At 41.3% G+C, this 21,250-nt stretch overlaps 1 protein-coding gene across 2 annotated transcripts, besides 5 other annotated features; it reads right to left on the bottom strand.

The window, feature by feature from the left end:
• Window positions 1–660: 660 nt before the first annotated feature.
• On the bottom strand, window positions 661–19,208 carry MAPK1IP1L (mitogen-activated protein kinase 1 interacting protein 1 like). Of its 2 annotated transcripts, none has more exons than NM_144578.4 (4): window positions 19,052–19,208; window positions 9,154–9,175; window positions 7,530–8,237; window positions 661–6,239 (listed from the first exon to the last, which is right to left on the bottom strand). In NM_144578.4, exons 2-4 carry the CDS (start codon window positions 9,169–9,171, stop codon window positions 6,228–6,230), a joined length of 738 nt encoding a protein of 245 aa, NP_653179.1. In that variant the 5' UTR covers window positions 9,172–9,175; window positions 19,052–19,208; the 3' UTR covers window positions 661–6,227. The 2 variants fall into 2 exon arrangements, with proteins under 2 accessions (NP_653179.1, XP_011535664.3); XM_011537362.3 differs by lacking the exon at window positions 19,052–19,208 and adding an exon at window positions 9,682–9,700.
• Window positions 18,638–18,797: a silencer, noted in NCBI's record as "silent region_5779". NCBI's record gives its function as "represses an Ori minimal core promoter by ATAC-STARR-seq in GM12878 lymphoblastoid cells {active_cell/tissue: GM12878}" and the evidence as "EXISTENCE:reporter gene assay evidence [ECO:0000049][PMID:35858748]".
• Window positions 19,148–19,387: a silencer, noted in NCBI's record as "silent region_5778". NCBI's record gives its function as "represses an Ori minimal core promoter by ATAC-STARR-seq in GM12878 lymphoblastoid cells {active_cell/tissue: GM12878}" and the evidence as "EXISTENCE:reporter gene assay evidence [ECO:0000049][PMID:35858748]".
• Window positions 19,148–19,846: a biological region, named in NCBI's record as "NANOG-H3K27ac-H3K4me1 hESC enhancer GRCh37_chr14:55517727-55518416".
• Window positions 19,157–19,846: an enhancer, noted in NCBI's record as "NANOG-H3K27ac-H3K4me1 hESC enhancer chr14:55517727-55518416 (GRCh37/hg19 assembly coordinates)". NCBI's record gives its function as "activates a minimal SCP1, AML or CMV promoter by ChIP-STARR-seq in naive H9 embryonic stem cells {active_cell/tissue: H9 hESC(naive)}" and the evidence as "EXISTENCE:reporter gene assay evidence [ECO:0000049][PMID:30033119]".
• Window positions 19,418–19,617: an enhancer, noted in NCBI's record as "active region_8422". NCBI's record gives its function as "activates an Ori minimal core promoter by ATAC-STARR-seq in GM12878 lymphoblastoid cells {active_cell/tissue: GM12878}" and the evidence as "EXISTENCE:reporter gene assay evidence [ECO:0000049][PMID:35858748]".

Genomic DNA, 21,250 nt, shown 5'->3' with positions numbered 1-21,250 from the left:
GTGGAACTGCTCTAGGGAAAGCAGGGAGAGACTAAGCGTTATAAGCTCTACTTGGTCCTCTCCTCAGCACTGGGAAAATCAATTTTCCCAAATGAGAGAAAAAAGTTTAAGTGCCACGAGGGCCAGGCATGGTGGCTCAAGCCTGTAATCCCAGCACTTTGGGAGGCTGAGGCAGGCGAATCACCTGAGGTCAGGAGTTTGAGACCAGCCTGGTCAACATGGCAAAACCCCATTTCTAGTAAAAATACAAAAACTAGCTAGGACTGGTGGTGTGCACCTGTAATTCCAACCACTTGGGAGGCTGAGGCAGGAGAATCGCTTGAACTCGGGAGGCGGAGGTTGCAGTGAGCAGAGATTGCATCACTGCACTCCAGCCTGGGCGACAGAGTGAGACTGTCCCAAAAATAAGTAAAAGCCACAGGAATAAGCTCTATGAGATGACCCAAATCCTCTCCTGGCACTCGAATTCTATTGCATGCCTTATTTAAAATAAGTGAGCTAAGATTTAGAATTCTATTTTGCTTTGGAGATCAGTTGCAAAAGGATTGGTGCTAAGAGTATTAATACGGTGATAAAAAAGGACTTGCCTGGGTCAGGTAACCCACGATAGCATGTTTGTCAGAGCAATGTCATCTCACAACAGGAAAAAAAGAAACTGGCCCTGCTCCAGAATGGTCTTATTATTTCACCATCCATTTCATAACTCCACTTTAGGTGAATACTTTCATGGGATATTGAATAACATATCAAAAACAATTTAAAATTTTACAGCTGCATTTTGTCCAATCATAAGGCAAAAAGCAGAAATTCCTTCCAAAAGTAGCACTGCAAAGTATTCATTCATTCATTGCCCTACTGAAATTGGGAGTTCCAAGGAATGCCAGCGAAATCTCCTGTGGGAAAATGGTAAACTCCAAGTTTAATAATGTGACCCTCACTAAATGCGTAGCAGTTAATGATAAAAGTAGAACTATCTTTCATAACAGAAAGTGGGGGAGTGAGGGGAGTAGGGACAGACAGAGAAAGTTCCCTGACTTCATATTATCATATATACGGATAATCTGGTTACCAAGAGTAGCCTAGCCTTAAAAGAAGAGAAAATCACCACAATGGACACCATGTTGCTGAGAGGGTTTGCGGAGGAAGGGTGGTTTCCAGATATCCTTAGTGAATGCAGGTCACATGCAAAGAGGTATCTCAGGCCCTTTTTTCTTCCTTTTTGACAACAAATTTACAGTTAATTAGGCTCTGGACTTGCTCAGAGAAGCCCAGAATTGGGCCTAAAGAATAAAATAACATGAAAAATCTGTGAAACCATGAAAATACATTTTTTAAAAAAAGTTTCCAGGTATAATACACAAAAGCAAACAAGTTTATCTTAAAAAATACCAAGTATCACATCCATAGCCTATTCCTAATTATAATTACTTCTTAAAGCAACATTTGTCTTTGTTTACAAATACAGCAGCAGGTGATAAAACCTAGTATCTCAAACTGATTGCTTACAATTTATAATACAAACATATGTATATGTCTCAAATCACATTTTAGGCAGTTTAACTTAAAATGCATAGACAATTACATACATTAAATTTGTCATTACTGTCAGTGAAAAATCACAATTTCAAGAAGAAAATTACAACAAACTCATAGAGCACACATAAGAAGTCAAGTTCACTTAATGGCAACAAGTCAGTATCTGCTGATCAGTGACAGGCAGTGAAAGTGCCTTTATCCAGGGGTAAAGTGAAGAGGCAAACTATCCTGTTACTTTGCACACTTGAATTGTTGCGCTGATCAACACTACAATCTTGAAAAACATTAAATTCTTAAAAAAAAAAAAAGGCATGCCACATGTCACCCTTTAAGATGCCCAAAGGCTGGTTACAATTTCCACCAGTAGTGATCCTAACACGTTTAGGTAAAACTAATAATGAATGGGTATGCTAACAAATTCTGTAATGTTACTTATAGACTATGAGCCTCTCAAGGACAGGGATTCCCTTATAGCTGGCAAAGAACCTGGATCAAGGACATATTGTCTACTGAATAAATGACTCAGATGTTTTCGACAGCCAGAAGCTTGCCTGCCATTTACAAAATACTGATTATTTTATTGGCAATTTCTGTTTTACTTGGCAGAAATCTGAAAATAAAAAGTGTTTGTCTTCAATACTAAATATTGCTTTATTAAAATCAAAGTCTTCCCTGAACGCCACCTACAACTTTCTATGCATAGTACAATATATCAGTGTGATTTATCTGAATTTAGGCTTATGCTTTTCAAAAACTTGAATGTCTGTGCTTAAGTTTTATTTCCAGGCTTTCTAACCTTGGCATTTGATAAAGCTAGCTTCTATCATTCAGGGTGAGAAAATTGAGACATTGGCACTTATTGTTTAGAAGTGTAGGCAATTGACTGATATTCAACCCAGGCACAGTCTTGACAAAAACTCTGAGTAGAGCTTTTTTCATCTACAGTTTCAAAAGCTGTATATTTGAGAGTACCCCAGGTAGCACTAATTATTTGTGAGGTAATCATGGGCAAATTGATTGGTTTTTTAGAAAATATCCCAATAGTCCATTGTGGTGGTGGGACTGACTGAGGCAAAATATATACTTTTCTCTGCCCTATTACTATTCTCTACTGAAGACAACCAACAGTAAAATGCACAAAACAGTCAGTCCTTGGGTAATTAAAAAATGTATTGTCTATTTCTGAATAATCAATATATTACTTTACACAAAATAGGGCTGAGTCAGAGCTGTAAATGGTGTCTTCAAAAGCATGAAAAGATGAGAAAGTGGCAGGATGGGACAGACAAGCCAAGGTCTTTGAAGTGCTCCACTTGATTCTTGAGAACCGGGTGTGAATGACGACCTAAGGTCTATGTTTTAATTTTTGTCTTTTTGGTTTCAACATTTCAAAACCTAAGCTTCCAACTCCAAGAAACAGCATTCCTGAACACCTCAACTATTTCCATTAGATTTGAAAATTCTTCCTCTGAAGCCCAAATGTCAGCATATTCTATAATCTGTATCCCCCTCAAGACCAAATATACTTGCTAACAAGCAGTCTTTTCCATAAATCAGTTTCAGCCTAGCATGTCTTGTTTTGAAAGCAACATTGTTCCCTTTTAAAAAGAAAAAAAGGTCACGCATGGTGGCTCACGCCTGTAATCTCAGCACTTTGGGAGGCTGAGGCAGGCGGATCACGAGGTCAGGAGTTTCAGACCACCCTGGCCAACATGGTGAAACCCCCGTCTCTACTAAAAATACAAAAATGGGTGTGGTGGCGGGCACCTGTAATCCCAGCTACTTGGGAGGCTGAGGCAGAAGAATCGTTTGAACCTGGAGGCAGAGGTTGCAGCGAGCCAAGATCACGCCATTGCACTCCAGCCTGGGTGACAGGGCAAGACTCTGTCTCCAAAAAAAAAAGAAAAAAGGAAAAAAGCCTTTCTTGATGCTGTTCCCCATTTCTCCACTAAAACGCCTGCTTTTCTTAACTCCACACCGAACCAACCTGAAATATTTTGGCCCAGAATGCCAACAAGAATTGAAGAAAAGATGCTTTACAAAAATAACAATATAAAAGCAAATTATATTATCCCTTTTATCTCCATTCTTACATTAAAAAAAAAAAAAAAAATCGGCCGGACGTGGTGGCTCACGCCTGTAATCCCAGCACTTTGGGAAGCCAAGGCGGGCAGATCACGAGGTCAGGAGATCGAGACCATCCTGGCTAACACAGTGAAACCCCATCTCTACTAAAAAAAAAAAAAAAAAAAAATTAGCCGGGCATGGTGGCGGGCACCTGTAGTCCCAGCTGCTTGGGAGGCTGAGGCAGGAGAATGGTGTGAACCTGGGAGATGGAGCTTGCAGTGAACCAAGATAGCACCACTGCACTCCAGCATGGGCGACAGAGCGAGACTCCGTCTCAAAAAAAAAAAAAAATCTCCCCCAAATACCAGTTGCAAAGTCCTTGAAAACAAAGGGAGTACAATAGCAGTATGATTTAGGGCACACTGGACAGTATGGGTCACTAGCAAAATTATTATACTTATAGGGAGTAATAATCCCAAATTGTGTTCATGGCCCTTCAAATCCTTTAGCAACAGATTTTCTCCCAAAATCAATGGACTTCATAATTATAGATTCCCAAACCTGCTATCTCTTCTTCCTACTCAAATTATATTTGCTCCAGTGTTAAACTAAATACTGCTAATTTGTCAGCTTATCCCAATGTAGGACAGCCAAAATAACTGTAAGGAGAGCTATCTTTGCAGCCATCTCACTTTTCACATTACTTTATCCCTCCATGGTTAACTGACATTTTGATATTGATAATTCAAGCCAAGGCTACCTGCCTTGTAGACTAAGGGGGCTACTTTGACAACAGAGTTCAACAGTATTGTAGACAGCTAACACCTGTCCTTGAAGAGAAGTGAAAGAAAAAGCTAACAACATTCCGCAGTCTGAAAATATCTTAACAAATTAGTTTCTACTTTCTCATTTCTAAAAGCTTGAATCTATCATCTAGTTAACATAAGGGATGATTAAACACTGAATGTTCCTCTCAAAGGTAACCATTTTGCTTTCTTAGAAGGAGGTAGCTATCAAACCAAAAAACTGGCAGCATTTGGCATTCTTGACATTTTAATTAGAGCAGAAATAAACTACTAAATATTTTATTTCTAAGCAAAACAGAGCTCCAGCATAAATCCTGTTTGTCTGAGAAATTCACAATACATTTTAGAAATCCAATGGATACATTCAAAATGTTATCTAATAAATAACAAGGTCAGGTCTACTCCAAATCTAAGAATCTGATTTAAACATAAGGTGCCAAAAAACTACCAGGGCTTTTTTTTTTTGGTGGTTATAAACAATACTTGATATTTAAGCAACACAGTCACACTGCTTTAAACTTAGTTGCAGAGATCTACAATTTATTATTATTTTCAGTGTTAGAGCTAGAGGGTAATTTTTTCAAAGATGGCACTCAACTCCACTTATTTACCTGTCAACAAATACAGAACTGAACTGTTAGCCATAAGCACTTTACAAACAGACTCAGGAAACTATGCAGTAGACAATGACATAGCTTAACCAGACTCTGAAAAAGAGATACATATTTTGATTCACACTTGTACAAAGAGAACAGTCATGTCTGCATGACTTAAGGTTCCCTAAACACAACTGTTTTATGTTTTAGACCCCTGGAGTGTGCCAGTTTACCACATCAGGGAGGAATCAAGGGATGTGTGTGCTCCTTCTAAAGAACCAAGGGCAAGTGGGGTGGGGGTGGCTACAGGGAACGCTCTGGGCAAAAGAGCTGCCTCAGGTTTTTGTGGGAATGAAAATTACTTGTTGCAGTTAAGCAATTCCTAGGGTTTATCTAGTTTGAGGTTCAAAACAAAGGAGAGAATTATTTCCTTCCTCGAGCTCTTCCCAAAGCAATATGCACATCTCATAATCAAATCTCAAGTAGTACAAAGAGATAATCAATTATCTAAAAATTTAATTTACATACATGTTGGCCTGGATTAAAAACAAAAAAGTTAGTTTCCATAAATAGCAGACTTTAGTGCTGTATGACCCAATGACTAAAAATAAAACCAGGAAGTTTTTACTAAAAGCTCAAGGATAAAAATGAACACTGGCTGGCTATTGAACTCCACATCTGACAATAATTACTGACAGTTTAAAAATGTATATCCAAAATATAACCTCAAGAGGACCAGGTTTATTTGTCCGACAGAGCAGCTCAAAATGTTGAGGCATCATTTGTTTGGATTATGATGGGTTATTCTCGAAGTTTATTTATTTAGAAGGGGAAAGTGATTATAGAAAAATACTTGAAATAATTTGCCAATGAAGTTGCAGATTCTAACAATAATCCACATCTTAGATTTTTAAGTGTGTAGTTTCATAGTTTAAACAAATTCTGTCAAAGAACTATTCAATATACTTTATCACTTTAACTTTCCATGAAAACCAAATAAAAATCACATCCGAATGATTTACTTCTATGCTTTTATCTGATTGTATACATATGATGTACTACGCATCCAAGTACAAGAGGCAGTTATCTTCTCTGAGAGGTGCAAGAGTTGTTCTTTCATGAATGCCCTCTAATAGTGAAACCAGCAATTTTTATATATGCATTCATGTGCATATACATGTACTTCAAAAAGCAAAGCGTCATCTCTTCGTCCATTGTTAACTTAATGGTAAGACTGCAATAGAAAAAAGAAAAAGTCAACTTCTAGATTTTGCAAATGGAGTTTATTAACTCCTTACTGTGGCTTAAAGTAAATTTATTGCTTAATAAATCCAAACAGCAAGTCACATCATTTACTCTGGCATACACTTTGCAAAACAAATATTTTTAGATAATATATATAGCAAGAAAGAAATTACACTAATGCAAGGAGGAAGTTTTAGGGGTACTTTAAAGATTTCTTTTCCTTTATAGCTGGATTGGATGTTTGACTAATCTAATCAGAGATCTGGCTAGTTATTTTCGTACTAAGAGTTAACAGATTTTTTTTTTTTCCTGGCTGGGCATGGTGGCTCAGGCCTGTAATCCCAGCACTTTGGGAGGCTGAAGCAGGCGGATCACTTGAGGTCAGGAGTTCAAGACCAGCCTGGCCAACATGGTGAAACTCCATCTCTACTAAAAATACAAAAATGAGCCGGTGTGGTGGCACACGCCTGTAATCCCAGCTACTCAGGAGAATCGCTTGAACCTGAGAGGTAGAGATTGCAGCGAGCCGAGAGACTGCACTCTTGCCTGGGTGACAGAGCAAGACTGTCTCAAAAAAAAAAAAAAAAAAAAAAAAAAAAAAGAGTTAACAGATTTTTTTTCCTAAGGAAAATCTTTACTCTGCGTTTGGATACTCGTTTGGCTTACCTCACAGGGGAAGTGGGGTACTTTTCCATTTGGTTATATGACCAAGGCAGGCTCCTCAACTAAGATGTTAACCCCACACTGGGTTGTCTGACAGTAAAGCATAAAGCATTACATGTAACTGACAATAAAGAATAGGGGTGTAATCTTGAGCTCGAGAACTGCTTGAAAGATGAACATTACCTACTCATTGCCTTGGATTCTCTAAAAATCTACCTCTATCAAGCTAGACAGGTAGAGACTGCTTTTACTGAACTGTACTTTGGTGTGATGCTATAAAACAATACTGAGAAATAATAATAATAAAACAAAAAGCCCAATGAAATGAATCTCAGAGTTTACCTAAAGGATGCTATTGAGGACACTGCTTACTACATTACAAAGTCTTTGGGGATCTTTGGAAAATTCTTCTTTTTAGCACAAGGAATACTTAAAACAGTGCTTTCATCCTTTTAAATGCTTTACCTGAAGGTTTGAAATTTACTTATTTAATATACACACACCCTCTTTTAAAAACTTAAAAGCCTTCTTAATCTTCCATCCAAAACTGGGGAGAAACAATGTCAGTTGTGCTATGTACAATTAGTACACTTTAAATAACAAATTGAACACTCACATGGGGGCCACCAGGCATTGGTGGAGCACCAGAAGGTCCTGAAGGCACTTGGAAAGGATTACTGGGAGTAGGATAGAGTCCTGGTGTGGGATACGATCCTGTAGGGGCAGGATATGGTGCTGGTGGTCCCCAGGCTCCTGGTGGAACGGTGCCCCATGGAACAGGTGGTGCTGCCCCAGGGGCTTGGGGAGGAGGAGGAGCGGGATATGGGCCTGGAGATGGATATGGCATATTAGGGGTAGGATACTGCCCTCCCATTCCTGGCGCCCAAGGTCCAGAAGACATGGATCCCCATGGACCTAAAGGACCAGCTGCAGCTGGATCTGTGGGTGCACCATATGGTCTGGGTAGCTCTGGAAAGGGCATATTTGGTGTAGGATATGGCCCTGTGGGGCCAGGGCCCGGCACAGTTGGGGCTGGATAAGGACCACCAGGTGGGGGACATGATGGTCCGGAAGGAGGAAAGGGTGCTGGGGGTCCTGGAGGTGGTCCGGTGGGAGGCACGGAGGGATACATTCCTGTTGGTGCTGGTCCAAAAGGCACAGTGGAGGGTGTTGCACTTGGTGGGAGTCCAGATGGCACTGAAGATGGAGCACTCGGATTATTCCAAGGGTTGGAGCCTGGCCAGCCTTGAGGAGGTTGGCCAGGTTTTGTATTGCTCACAGCAGAGGTTTTGGCAGGGGAGTGTTCAGGTAGTGCATCTGCCAACTGGAACACAAAACAGATACGTCTTTCCTATCTAGGGAAAAGTTACATCGAACACCATTATAAACCCACAGAGAATAGTAACCTATAGGGGCAGGGATTATAAACCTCAAGAATATCTTCAAAAGCTAAGCTAGTCATTTAAAAAATACTCTATTTAACATAAACCTTGAGATGCTACTTTGCGTATCAACTTTACAGTGCAAATTCTTCAGAGAAACTCGTTTTCTAAATACAACTAATCATATTGTGCTTCATTTCTCTGCTGTATTAATACAACAAAATACAGTAATTAAGAAGATAGAACTAACAGTCAAGATATGGATTTGAATCCTGGCTTAACCTCAAAGGAGCTACATACTCTGAGATAGAGCCTCTTCAGTTTCAAAACTGTTTTAGGGTTAACTTGAGGCTTAAATATGATATTTCATGTAGTACACTTTCACAGAGTGCCTGGTATATAATAATTTCTAATAAATGTTGGCTATTAATACTATCAGGGTAAAAGAGAACAACAGAAGTAACATCTTAAATTTTCATTTAAAGAAATACATATTTTCATAAATACAGGAAACATTTCCAAACATGCTATTATCTCAGTAAACTAAGGCAAATCACCTATCAAAATCTCTTTACTACCCCCAAAGCCAAGAATCACAAAAAGCATCTCTTTTATTTATTTATAGACAGAGTCTCACTCTGTCACCCAGGCAGGAGTGCAATGGCACAATCATGGCTCACTGCAGCCTGAAACTCTTGGGGTCAAGGGATCCTCCCAAGTAGCTAGGACTACAGGTGCACACCACCATGCCTGGTTAAAGCATCTCTTTTAAGTGAAAAGATTTACGTAGCCCAGTTAGGACCATGTTGTTTTTCTTAAGAGATGAAAAACTTATCACAGATAAACTGATCAACTTACCGAAAATTCATCAGACATTTTCCTAAAAAAAGAAAAGAAATGAAGGAAGAAAGAAAAATTTCAAAATCAGTGTTCACCATTTCTTAAATATTCCTTAAGGAACTTTCTATGCATACATTATTATTACTTAAGCGGAATCTTATTTATGTAATGTGTTTTTCTTTACATAGGAAAGTTTTCCATAATAGTTCATACAGCTCTATTAACTTCATCCCTTTTAATGGCTGCACATCATACAAAAATGATTTGCAATTTAATTTACCTTCTTTTTGTAGCAGTATAAGTTGTTTTAAGTATGATACAGTGAACATCTCTCAACACTTCTTTGTTTGTGTGTGAGAATCTAACACCAGGAAAAAGCACTGGACATGGAATTTAGAGTCAACAGATAAATTTATCTAAAATCCATTTGAAAAGTCCATGCCAATTTACACTCATTTCTCTAACTCCTTTTACCACTGGATATTATTAAATTTATTGTTTATAATGACAATAGATATTAAAAATTAGCGTCTTATTTTAACTTACATTTCCTCGTCTTTTTTTTGGAGACAGGGTCTCATTCTGTCACCCAGGCTGGAGTGCAGTGGCGAGAGAGATCACAGCTCACTGCAATCTTGACCTCCTGGGCTCAAGTCATCTTCTTGCCTCAGTCTCCCTAATAGCCGGTACTACAGGTGTGTGCCATCATGCCCAGCAAATTTCTTAAAATTTTAAAAATTTATTGCAGAGACAGGTGTCTCACTATGTTGCCCAGACCCGGTCTCAAACTCCTGGGATCAAAGGACCCTCCTGCCTCAGCCTCCCAAAGTATTGGGATTATAGCCATGAGCCACTGTGTGTACTCCCAAATTTAAATTTATTGATGTCCTGGAGTACTTTTACCAATTTTTAAATTGAAGTGTAATTAGCACTCAACAAAATGCAGAGATCTTAAGTGTTCAGATTAACAAGCTCTGATAATTGTATACGCCCCTATAACCACCCCAAGATACAGAACATTTCTCACTCCAGAAAGTTTACTCATGCTCTTTTCCAATCAACTACCTTGCCTCATGGCAGTCAATTTTTGACTTAATTTTGCTTGTTCTTTGACTTTATATAAATAAAAGACTGTAGGTACTCTTTGCCTTTGATCATTTTATTACTCAGTAGCACATCTTTTTCTCTCACTGCTTTGTAAGATACTAAGCAGACTAGCTTTCATATATGAGATTAAAATTTTTTGGCCGGGTGCAGTGGCTCACGCCTATAATCCCAGCACTTTGGGAGGCCGAGGCAGGCGGATCACGAGGTCAAGAGATCGAGACCATCCTGGCTAACACGGTGAAACCCCGTCTCTACTAAAAATACAAAAAAACGATTAGCCCAGTGTGGTGGCGGGTGCCTGTAGTCCCAGCTACTTGGGAGGCTGAGGCAGGAGAATGGCATGAACCTGGGAGGCGGAGCTTGCAGTGAGCCGAGATTGCGCCACTGCACTCCAGCCTGGGCAACGGAGGGCTACTCCATATCAAAAAAAAAAAAAAAAAAAAAAAAAAAAAAAAAAATTTCTCCAAAATTCCTTTTATCTGTAGATCTCTTAAAGGGCATATTTTGGTTATACAAAAGTTTTAAATTTCATGTCATCAAATCTATCAATGTTTTCCTATACGTGGCTTCTGGATTTTGTGATATATTTACAAAGGCCTTCCCTACTCTGCCTTGCTTTCATATAGTATTTTTATGGTTTAACTTCTTGTTTAAAACCTTTAAATTCTTCCAAACAATAATTATCAACTATCTATCTTTTCTCAGCTAATTGGACAAGCTACCTTTACTACACTATACTGCTGCCATTTATAACTAGCATCTATCCAATATTTACCATGAAACATGGAACATGGTGGTGTACTGTGCACCACCTCACTTGGTAGCTCCAGAACCCAGATACAAATTTTATTTTCACCCCCAGTTTACAGCTGGAGAAGAGGAAGCTTGGCAAGTTAACTTGTTTAAGGTCCCAGAGCTAATGACAAGGAGAGAAGCAGTTCAAACCCAGTATGACTCCAGAACTTAGGCTCTTAACAAGCAGGCTATAGAGCCTCCTTCATTTCCCACAGATATTGTGGACTTTATTCTTTTCTTTTTGAAACAGTCTTGCTTTGTTCCCTGGCCAGAGTGCAGTGGCACCATCATAAGCTCACTGCAGACTCGACCTTCTGGGCTCAATCGATCCTGCCCAGCTAGTTTTTTTGTAGAGATGGAGTTTCACCATGTTGCCCAGGCTGGTCTTGAACTCCGGAGCTCAAGTGATCTGCCTGCCTCGGCCTCCCAAAGTCTTGGGATTACAGGCGTGAGATACTGTGCCCAGCTGACTTTATTCTTTTCTACTGGTCTGCAACTGTACCATTCCATTTTAATTACAGAAGCTTTACAATATATTTTAAATAAACATTAATGTGAGTCACCCTACTGTCTTTTTTTTTTTTTTTTTTTTCAGATTTTCCTATGTATTTTTATTTTTTCCAGATCGTTAAAAAAAAAAATTAATGTGTTAGCATTCTGGTTGGAAATGTATTATATTTACAGATTAATCTAGGGGAACATCTATTTAAAATGTCAAATCATCTCGTTCAAGAACAAGGTATAGTATAGTCCCTCGGTACCTGAGGGAGATTGGTTCTAGGACCCCCATAGATACTCAAATCCCAGGATGCTCAAGTACCTGATATAAAATGGTGTAGTATTTGCATATAACCTATGCACATCTTCCCGTATAAATCATCTCTATATTATTTATAATACTTAAAAGTGTGAATACTATATAATTATATTAACTTATATTTTCTATGGTTATTTTTATTGTTTCCCCCAAGTATTTTTTTTTTTTTGAGACAGGGTCTCACTCTGTTGCCCAGGCTAGAGTGCAATAGCATGATGTCAGCTCACTGCAACCTCCATCTCCTGGGTTCAAGAGATTCTCCTGCCTCAGCCTCCTGAGTAACTGGGATTATAGGCAAGCGCCGCCATGCCCGGCTAATTTTTTGTATTTTTAATAGAGACAGGGTTTCACCACGTTGGCCAGGCTGCTCTTGAACTCCTGGCCTCACGTGATCCGCCCGCCTCAGCCTCCCAAAGTGCTGGGATTACAGGCATGAGCCACCGCACCCGGCTCCCTGAATATTTTCTACCCGCAAATGCAGACACAGAGGACTGTTTAGTTCCTGTCCTTTTCATGTAGTTTATTTTCTTGATCAGATCTCCTATATACATTTCTTTTAAGGGATTTCTGTTAAACTTTTCCCTGTGGTTGTAAATAGGCTCTTTTCTTCTACTGTATTTTCTAATTGTTCGTTCATATATGGGACAGGGTTTTAAAATTTTAGTCTATAGCAGGTCCTCGAAAGACGTTTCATTCAACTTTGTTTTGTTATAATGTTGATGAGAAGAAAAAACAAAAAGTCTCAGCTGAGGTCACTGTCTGTGTGAAGCTGGCTCATTCTCCCATCTTTATGGGTCTTCTCCAAGTACTCCAGTTTCCTCCCATATCCCAAAGATGCACATGAATGGATGTGTCTACGCGGCCCAGTCTGTGAGCGTGGGTGTAGGTGAGAGCACCCTGTGCTGGGATGGCGTCCAGTTCAGGGCTGGTTCCCAACTTGGACTCTGAATTGCCAAGAAAGGCTCCAGCCATTGAGACCCTGAACTGGAAGAGGGAGGCAAATAATTATCTTTTTATTAATCTTTCTTAAATGTATACACAGCTCACATTCATTCAATTTTTTTTTGAGACAGGGTCTTGCTCTGTCACCGAGGCTGGAGTGCAGTGGTGTGATCACAGCTCACTGCAACCTCCACCTCCCAGGCTCAAGTGGATCCTCCCACCTTAGCCTTTGAGTAGCTGGGACCATAGGCATGCTAATTTTTAAAATTTTTAGTAGAAATCATTTAAATTTTTTTTTTTTTTTGAGATGGAGTCTCGCTCTGTCGCCAGACTGGAGTGCAGTGGCGCGATCTTGGTTCACTGTAACCTCCGCCTCCTCAGTTTAAGCGATTCTCGTGCCTCAGTCTCCTGAGTAGCTGGGACTACAGGTGCGGGCCACTACACCCACTAATTTTTGTATTTTTAGTAGAGACGGGGTTTCACCATGTTGTCCAGGATGGTCTCCATCTCTTGACCTTGTGATCCGCCCACCTTGGCCTCCCAAAGTGCTGGGATTACAGGCGTGAGCCACTGCGCCCAGCTCATTTAAATGTTTAATACTAGAAGTGTTTTGGGTTTTATTTAAAAGTTTAGTGATGTTTTTGTTACCAGAAATATGCCATAGGAATTTAACTCTTCTTTATATTAATTAACCTAGGGTAGGAAGCATCATTACTGAATTATTTTATTCTTCAAAGTTTCTCACTTGATTCTCTGGTATTTCCAGATAAAAAATACGCCATTTGCAAAAAATAACTTTCCTTCTCTAATATTTATGCATCTTTTCTGTTTTGCACTTGCTAGGACTTAAATAATGAAATGTTGAGTGATAGTGGGCACAGAGGTCTTGCTCCAACTCTCCTGGGAATGCTAATGTTTAAGTATGATTCCCATTTTTAGTTTGAGATTTTAAAAAATTACATTATTTTTAATTTATGCCTATGCTATTATTTATTCCTATTCTGTTAATAAAGAAAGCAAGAAGACATTAAATTCCCTCAAAAGACTTTTCAGTATCTAATGAATTGATCTCATGCTTTTTCTCCTTTGACCTATCAATACAGTATTAACATAGAGCCACCTTTGTATTCTTAGCATCTTATTTCTAATTATGATTTGATTATCATGAGGAAAGGACAAGAACATAAAGGACAAGAACCCAAGCCTATCCCAACTGCTATATCCTTTTTATTCAGAATATCAAAAAACATGGCCGGGCGCGGTGGCTCACGCCTGTAATCCCAGCACTTTGGGAGGCCGAGGAGGGCGGATCACGAAGTCAGGAGATTGAGACCATCCTGGCTAACAAGGTGAAACCCCGTCTCTACTAAAAATACAAAAAATTAGCCAGGCATAATGGTGGGCACCTGTAGTCCCAGCTACTCAGGAGGCTGAGGCAAGAGAATGGCGCGAACCCAGGAGGCGGAGCTTGCAGTGAGCTGAGATCAAGCCACTGCACTCCAGCCTGGGTGACAGTGCAAACTCCGTCTCAAAAACAAAAAAACAAAAAAACCCACATACAACCCATTCCCATGTTAAGGTTTAACGTCAATCACATCACACAATAAAATTTTTAGGACTAACAGTGTAGAAAATATACGGTAAGTTGTAAGGCTAACATGCTTTTTAAACAGGGTTAGCCTTTCTGAAATAGAAAATGATTCTGTATCAAAGTTCATATTAATTCTGGAGTTGAGAATCAAAGTGAACCAAATGGCCTTGACTGTTCAGGTTTTCAGAATTATACAGTTACCTAGTCATGGAATTACATAAATTATTCTACAAGTTAATAATATTCAACTGATTCACAACACTACTTCAAAATTTTAAAGTTCAAAATCCAAGTCTGGAAGATAGGGGAGGTGCTAGAATCTTGTGATTAAAAAACAAAGCCCTAAGCATAGGAATTAGTAACAAGTTCTGTTCTACGGCACTGTCTTAGTAAAGTGACCAGCTCTCCATTCCTAGAATAAACAGCGTTCATGTTAGGGTGATCCCCCCTTATCTGTGGTTTTAATTACCTAAGGTCCGAACATATTAAATGAAAAATTCCAGAAATAAATAATTCGTAAGTTTTTTGTTTTGTTTTTGAGATGGAGTCTCGCTCTGCCACCCAGGCTAAAGTGCAGTAGTGTGATCTTGACTCACTGCAACCTCCGCCTCCCAGGTTTAAGTGATTCTCCTACCTGAGCCTCTCAAGTAGCTGGGATTATAGGCACGTGCCACCACGCCCGGCTAATTTTTAATTTTTGGTAGAGACGGGGTTTCACCATGTTGGCCAGGCTGGTCTCAAACTCCTGGCCTCAAGTAATCCGCCCACCTCAGTCTCCCAAAGTGCTGGGATTAGGCATGAACCACTGCACCTGGCCAATTCCTAAGTTTTAAATGGGGCAAGAGCATGTTCTGAGTAGCAAAATGAAAGTTTGCCCCCTCCTGCCTAGGACGTGAATCATCCCTTTGTCCAGTGTATCCATGCTGTATACGCTATCAGCCCATCTTGGTTATTAGATCTAAAAAACATGGTATACTTAGGCTTCGGCAGTGTATACAGACTTCAGTTTCAGGGATTCATTGGGGAGTCTTGCAATGTGTCCCCCTAGGATAAGGGGGAACAACTATAATTGGAAGCATTCCAATTTGTTCTTTGGAGAATACTTTCATTAGAAAAGGTGAAAAACAGTTGGACATGAACGTTTCAATATGAGGAGAGTTGCAGAACATAAAAAGTTTAGGTTTTCTAAAAAGCTATTCTAAGCCGCGCTTGGTAGTGTGCACCTGTAATCCCAGCTTCTCAGGAGGCTGAGGTGGGAAGACCGCTTGAGGCCAGTAGTTAAGAGACCAGCCTGGGCAATATTAGTGGCACTCTGTCTCAAAAAGAAAAATAAATAAAAATATAAAGCTATTCCAAAATATCTGAATCATCGCTAATTATTAAGATGAGGCCAATGTAACCTTGAACTCATAAAAACAATTTATACTCAAGAAAGGCTTTCTTTTTTTTCTTTTTGGAATAATCTAAAGCTATTATTTCCAAAACTTTGTTACCATTTTATAGCATGATCCACCCATCATCTGAAAAACAATACTTTTTATTCTTTGAATAGCAAGAATAGTAATTTTAAAACAGTACAAAATGTCTTTTGACATACACTAGAAAAGTAAAACATAACATTTTTGGAAACTCTCATGGCTGTTAGGGTAAAAATCATGGGTCAGGGAGGAGGGTGGTTAAGAGAGTTGAACTCCATGAATTACCAGTGGAGTTCATGGATATTTCAGACAGCCTTCAAATTGTGATGGAGTGATAAACAGTATGGGACTACACAGTGATGAAACCCGGACATGAATCCTTTTGACGGTTATCTTTTGACAAAAAACTTCTCAATAAGAGACCATTTTCCATCTGTAGAAGTTATAATTCCTGCCCACTGCACAGAAAATAGTAACACACTTAATCTATAAAGTGCTATATACATGTTAGATATTTGTTAGGCGAAATTAAGCGAAATCAAAATTTTTGGGTTGATTTGTTTAGTATGGGGGGATGATATGTATCGTACTGAAAATATAAATTAATGGCCGGGTGCGGCGGCTCAAGCCTGTAATCGCAGCACTTTGGGAGGCCGAGGTGGGTGGATTACTTGAGGCCAGGAATTCAAGACCAGCCTGGCCAATGGTAAAACCCTATCTCAACTAAAAATACAGAAAATTAGCTGGGCGTGGTGGAAGGCACCTGTAATCCCAGCTACTTCGCTTCGATAGGCTGAGGCAGGAGAATCGCTGGAACCTGGGAGGCGGAGCTTACAGTAAGCGACTCCGTCTCCAAAAAAAAAAAAAAAAAAGAAAATATAAATTATAAATTAGAATACATGCTAGTTTTTAGTATTGGCTCATTTATCTGCTTATGTTCCATTTTTTACATTTGGGCAACTCAAAAACGGGGGTTTTGAAATGCTCAAAAATCTGAATCTTTTTGAGTGCCACCATGCCGCTCAAAGGAAATGCTCATTAGAGCATTCTGGATTTTGGATGCTCAACTGGTGTAATGTAAAAAAAATCCAAAATCTGAAACACTTCTGGTCCCAAGCATTTGGGATAAAGGATATGCAACCTGCAATATTTCTTGGCATTTAGTTATATACTTATTGGAACATATATGCCAAACAATGTGTTGGCCTTTAGAGAAATTATAGTATTACATGGAGATTCCTGAGATGTGCTGTCTTTTGCAGTCCATAAGGACCATAAGGAAAGAGCCGGGAGTAGAGGGCGGTGAAATGGGCCCTAGGGAAAGAAGAGCAGTTAGTGTAAAAACTGGGAGAATCTCTGGGGAGGTATAAGCAGTTCAGATGGGTTAGAATATAGCGAGAAAGGGAAGGGTTGTATTAAAGTCTTAGCAGAGTGACCTTAGACGAGGGTTTGAATTATTTCACTAAAAGTCGGCTCATCTGAATGAACCCGAACTATAAAGAACAGGCCATACTATTTGTAAAAAGCACGCAGTTTAAAAAACAAAACAAATAAAAACCAGGCCAGTAATGTTGCGAGGAACTAAATGGGACTCTGTCCAATCAAGTGCCTAAAAAAATAGTGCTTGGGTGGAAAACAAATACCAAATTCTCTTTTCTTTGTATGTGGACATCTAGCTTATAGGTAAAAAAGTAAACGTTAAAGTATGATTATCTAGCTATAACTGCAGCTCTTCACTGGTTGGTTCGGCCAGAGTTGACAAGTCCAACTCTCCAAACTTGAGGCAAAGGAAGATCGGAATCGTACCCACATCATAGATTTGCTGTAAAACTTTTAATAAACAAATCTCTTAGTCGCTGCCTGGAATATAGCAAAACCTCAACAAATATTAGCTTTTATGATGCCTACTTTTAGGTCCATAAATCTTTATCTGCCCTAGTTTGGCACAAAACTTACATGGTGGCAAAATGTGACCTGAAGCTATTTATAGTTTCTATTCGCCCCCACTTAGAATGAATGTTCACATCTATTGCTGCAAATATTAATGTTGGATTATGGGGTGCCCCACTCTGCTGGGGGTGTTATCTCTCGTCTAACATGACTTTCTAAAAAGATGAAGATAAAATCCAAGTATTTTTGAATTCAAAACACACTAGCTTCAAAAGTTTCAGTTAAGAGACTGGGGATGGATTTTACCCATTCCGCCTGGAGTGAGGAAAAGAACATTCCAATATTTGCAATTCACTCCAAGTTTCTGAAGCAAACTCGCTTTGCATTGTGGGCTCAGAGATGCCAGCATGAAAAATTTCTATTCTTCCCCCAAAGAACACCAGTGAACAAAGAACTTATGAAATGTTTCTGAAGGCTACCTTTGCCTGTAATGAGGGTTCCTTTTCGAAACAGACCTTTACAACCCCCAGGTGTGTATTTCTCTAGTAGTAAAACTAAAAAAAATTCTTGCGGTCGAGTGAGCCTGGCTTCATGCTTTAACACTGGAATCTTTACCTATTAAAAGCTGTACTCTTGCTTTTCAAGGTAAAGAGGAAAACGGTCCAGCTATGCATACGCTATCGCAGGTATGTGCTCCTCAGTCCTAAAAAAGGAGATCACTGAATTCTGCCCTTCTCGTGGTTTGCCCTGGGTATTCATCTAATGTATCCGTGAGCAATTCCTCTAGTAAGTCATAACCAGAACGTTGTCACACTGCGGATTAACAAGCGCCCGAGACTCTTGTAAGAATCTTTTCAGGCCTTTCCCTTTTTATTAAAAATTAATGAATGAGTGTAATAGGGTGGGGGTAGAGGGGAAATCGGGGCCAAGGGGCGCGAGGCCGGCAGCCGTTTAGGGACGCACGAACAAAGGGAGTCCGGGATCAACCGGAGCGAACCGGCCTCCTAGCGGGTCGCGCCCGCCGGGAAGGGGTGGGGGAGGGGCCGGCCCGCGCCCGCCCCGCCCCGCAGCCAGACCTGACGTCAGGCGCCCAGAAACCCGTCGGGCGCGACGTCAGCGGCCTCCGACACCTTCTCCCTGGGGGGCGATCCCCAGGCAGCCCGCAGCGTGGAGGAAGGCGACCGATAGAAACGCTTAGTCCTGGTGCCAGGCAGGCGACCACGGCCCGAGCACTGGACGTGACTCGATGCACCTCGGTCACCGCGCCCGCTTCCCGCTTGGCCGCGCCCGCGGGCTCCGCAACCCCAGCTCCCCGATTCCCCTTCACGACTCCCACTAGTACCGAAGCAGCCTCACCCGGCAATATCCGAGACCGCAGTAGGGTCTAGAAGCGGCGATGGGTCCGAGGGACTGGGCCCTGAAGACGCGGGCGCAGCCTGACTGACGGCAGCTAGAGCAGCGGCGGCAACAGCACCAGCAGCGCGCGGCTCCTCCTGGCGCCGGAACAGGAAGCGCCGAGCGCACCGCCTCCGCCCGTTCTCCCCCTCCCCTCAGGCCGCGCCGCGTGCGCCTCCCGCAGGCCCCTGGCGGTACTGCGGCCCGCCAGGCCTAGGGGGATGGGCTCCACCTGGCGCCGGCTCCGGGCCGCTTTCCCCTGGTGGGCGGGCTAAAAGCTCCCAGAGTTTCCGGAGTTCCGAGGACTCGGAGGAAACGCCAGTGGCTGCCGATGTTCACGGCTTCCCGGCGGAAATTGCTAACTTGTCTTGAGTTGCTTGAGGGCTGATTCTGGATTCCTTTTGCTCAGCGGTTTTTACAGCTAGGCCTCGAAGGAGGCTGGGTATGGACGCGGTCTGATTTCGGCCTGACCCGAGGACTCAGATCCTCGGGCCAAAAGTGGGGAGAGGGAAAATATTAATACAGGAAAGGGAAGACGTTTGCAAATAGCTTGACAAATTGATATTTGCTTTCTTTGTAGATTTTTCCTCATCAATGCCTCTTCTCCCATGTTCTTTTTTGTTGTTTTTGAGACAGGGCCTCTGTCACACACGCTGGAGTGCAGTGGCGCGATCTCGGCTCACTGCAACCTCTGCCTGCTGGTCTCAAGCAATCCTCCCATCTTAGCCTCCGAGTAGCTGAGACTGCAGGCATGTGCCACCACATCCGGCTTATTTTTGTGTTTTTGATAGAGATGGGGTCTCACCCTGCTAGCCTCAAGCGATCTGCCCGCTTCGGCCTCCCAAAGAGCTGGTATTACAGGTGTGAGCCACCGTGCCCAGCCGCCATCTTCATTTCTGAATAAACATTACCTCCTGTGTCAGGCACAGATGACATGACCCCAGTCAAGGAACCTACTAACTAGCAATAAAGATGTCGTGATAATTATATGGTGTGCAAAATATATACATATATGCAATATACTTTTTTTTTTTTTTTGAGACGGAGTCTTGCTCTGTCGCCAGGCTGGAGTGCAGTGGCGCGGTGCGATCTCGGCTCACTGCAACCTCCGCCTCCCGGGTTCAAGCGATTCTCCTGCCTCAGCCTCCCAAGTAGCCGGAACTACAGGCGCGCGCTACCTTGCCCAGCTAATTTTTGTATTTAGAGACGAGGTTTCACCACGTTGGCCAGGATGGTCTCGATCTCTTGATCTTGTGATCCGCCCTCCTCGGCAAAGTGCTGGGATTACAGGCGTGAGCCACTGTGCCCGGCCAATATACATTTTTTAAGATATAAAAATATCCTAAAAGTATGTGGTACACTTGCATCTTGCTTTGTGTAAGGCATTAGTGAGTGAGTGGGTGGCCATTTAACCATGAACTTGTTTAAAGGAAGACATCCCTGGATGTTTTCCACAGCACACACAATTCTCACACTGAAAAAGGGGCAACAGAGGAACTTCAAATACCTAAGCCGAGAGTCTTATTTTTGGGTAAGGGCACACAGGCCTATGGAAAATTACACGACTGGTGTGGACCTAGCCTGTTCTCACTGGTGACAGTGAATCAGCAGTGCCTTGAGCCATGCTGAAACCTGAAGCAACAAGAAATCAGTAATCTGGTCAGGTTTGATTTGAAATTTGGTATCTTGCTCATCATAGGCTTTTTTGCATCAATTCAGATATTACAATATTGTACCAAAACATTGTCTTCCTTAGTCGTATAGTCAAATATTTGTCCCTAAGTGCCTCACCATACCCTAGTCCTGGCGCTGTGTACCAGTAATGGATAGCCTCCAACTTTTCCTTGCCTGCAATCAGCCAGTAGCTGAGCACGTTGGAGGGGTCTAGATCTAGGCCATTCCTGTCCCTGTGGGCTTCTCTACAGGCAACCTTTGCTTGGGAACCAAGTCCTCATCTAGCAGTCTCAAGATGCACTGAAGTCCGAAGCTCCCCTACCCAATCCTTCCTTCTAGGTGTCAGACTTTCTGTGTGGTATGAAGAATTCCCCACCTTCTGCTCCCTTCTCTATCTTTCTAGGTGTTTCACTCCAAATAAATCTCTTGCACCTCTAATCACATTTTGGCACCTGCTTCTGGAAGTCCCAAACACAAAAAAACTAA

The sequence above is a fragment of the Homo sapiens genome, chromosome 14, assembly GCF_000001405.40.
Source record: "Homo sapiens chromosome 14, GRCh38.p14 Primary Assembly".
NCBI lineage: Eukaryota > Metazoa > Chordata > Mammalia > Primates > Hominidae > Homo > Homo sapiens.
The sequence above is the reverse complement of the archived record's forward strand: the minus strand, read 5'-3'. Positions and strand labels throughout refer to the sequence as shown.

Coding starts and splice junctions, on each gene's coding strand:
- MAPK1IP1L (XM_011537362.3), bottom strand. Junction 8,238..9,153: donor AAATGTCTGATGAATTTTCG/GTAAGTTGATCA, acceptor TTTGTGTTCCAG/TTGGCAGATGCACTACCTGA.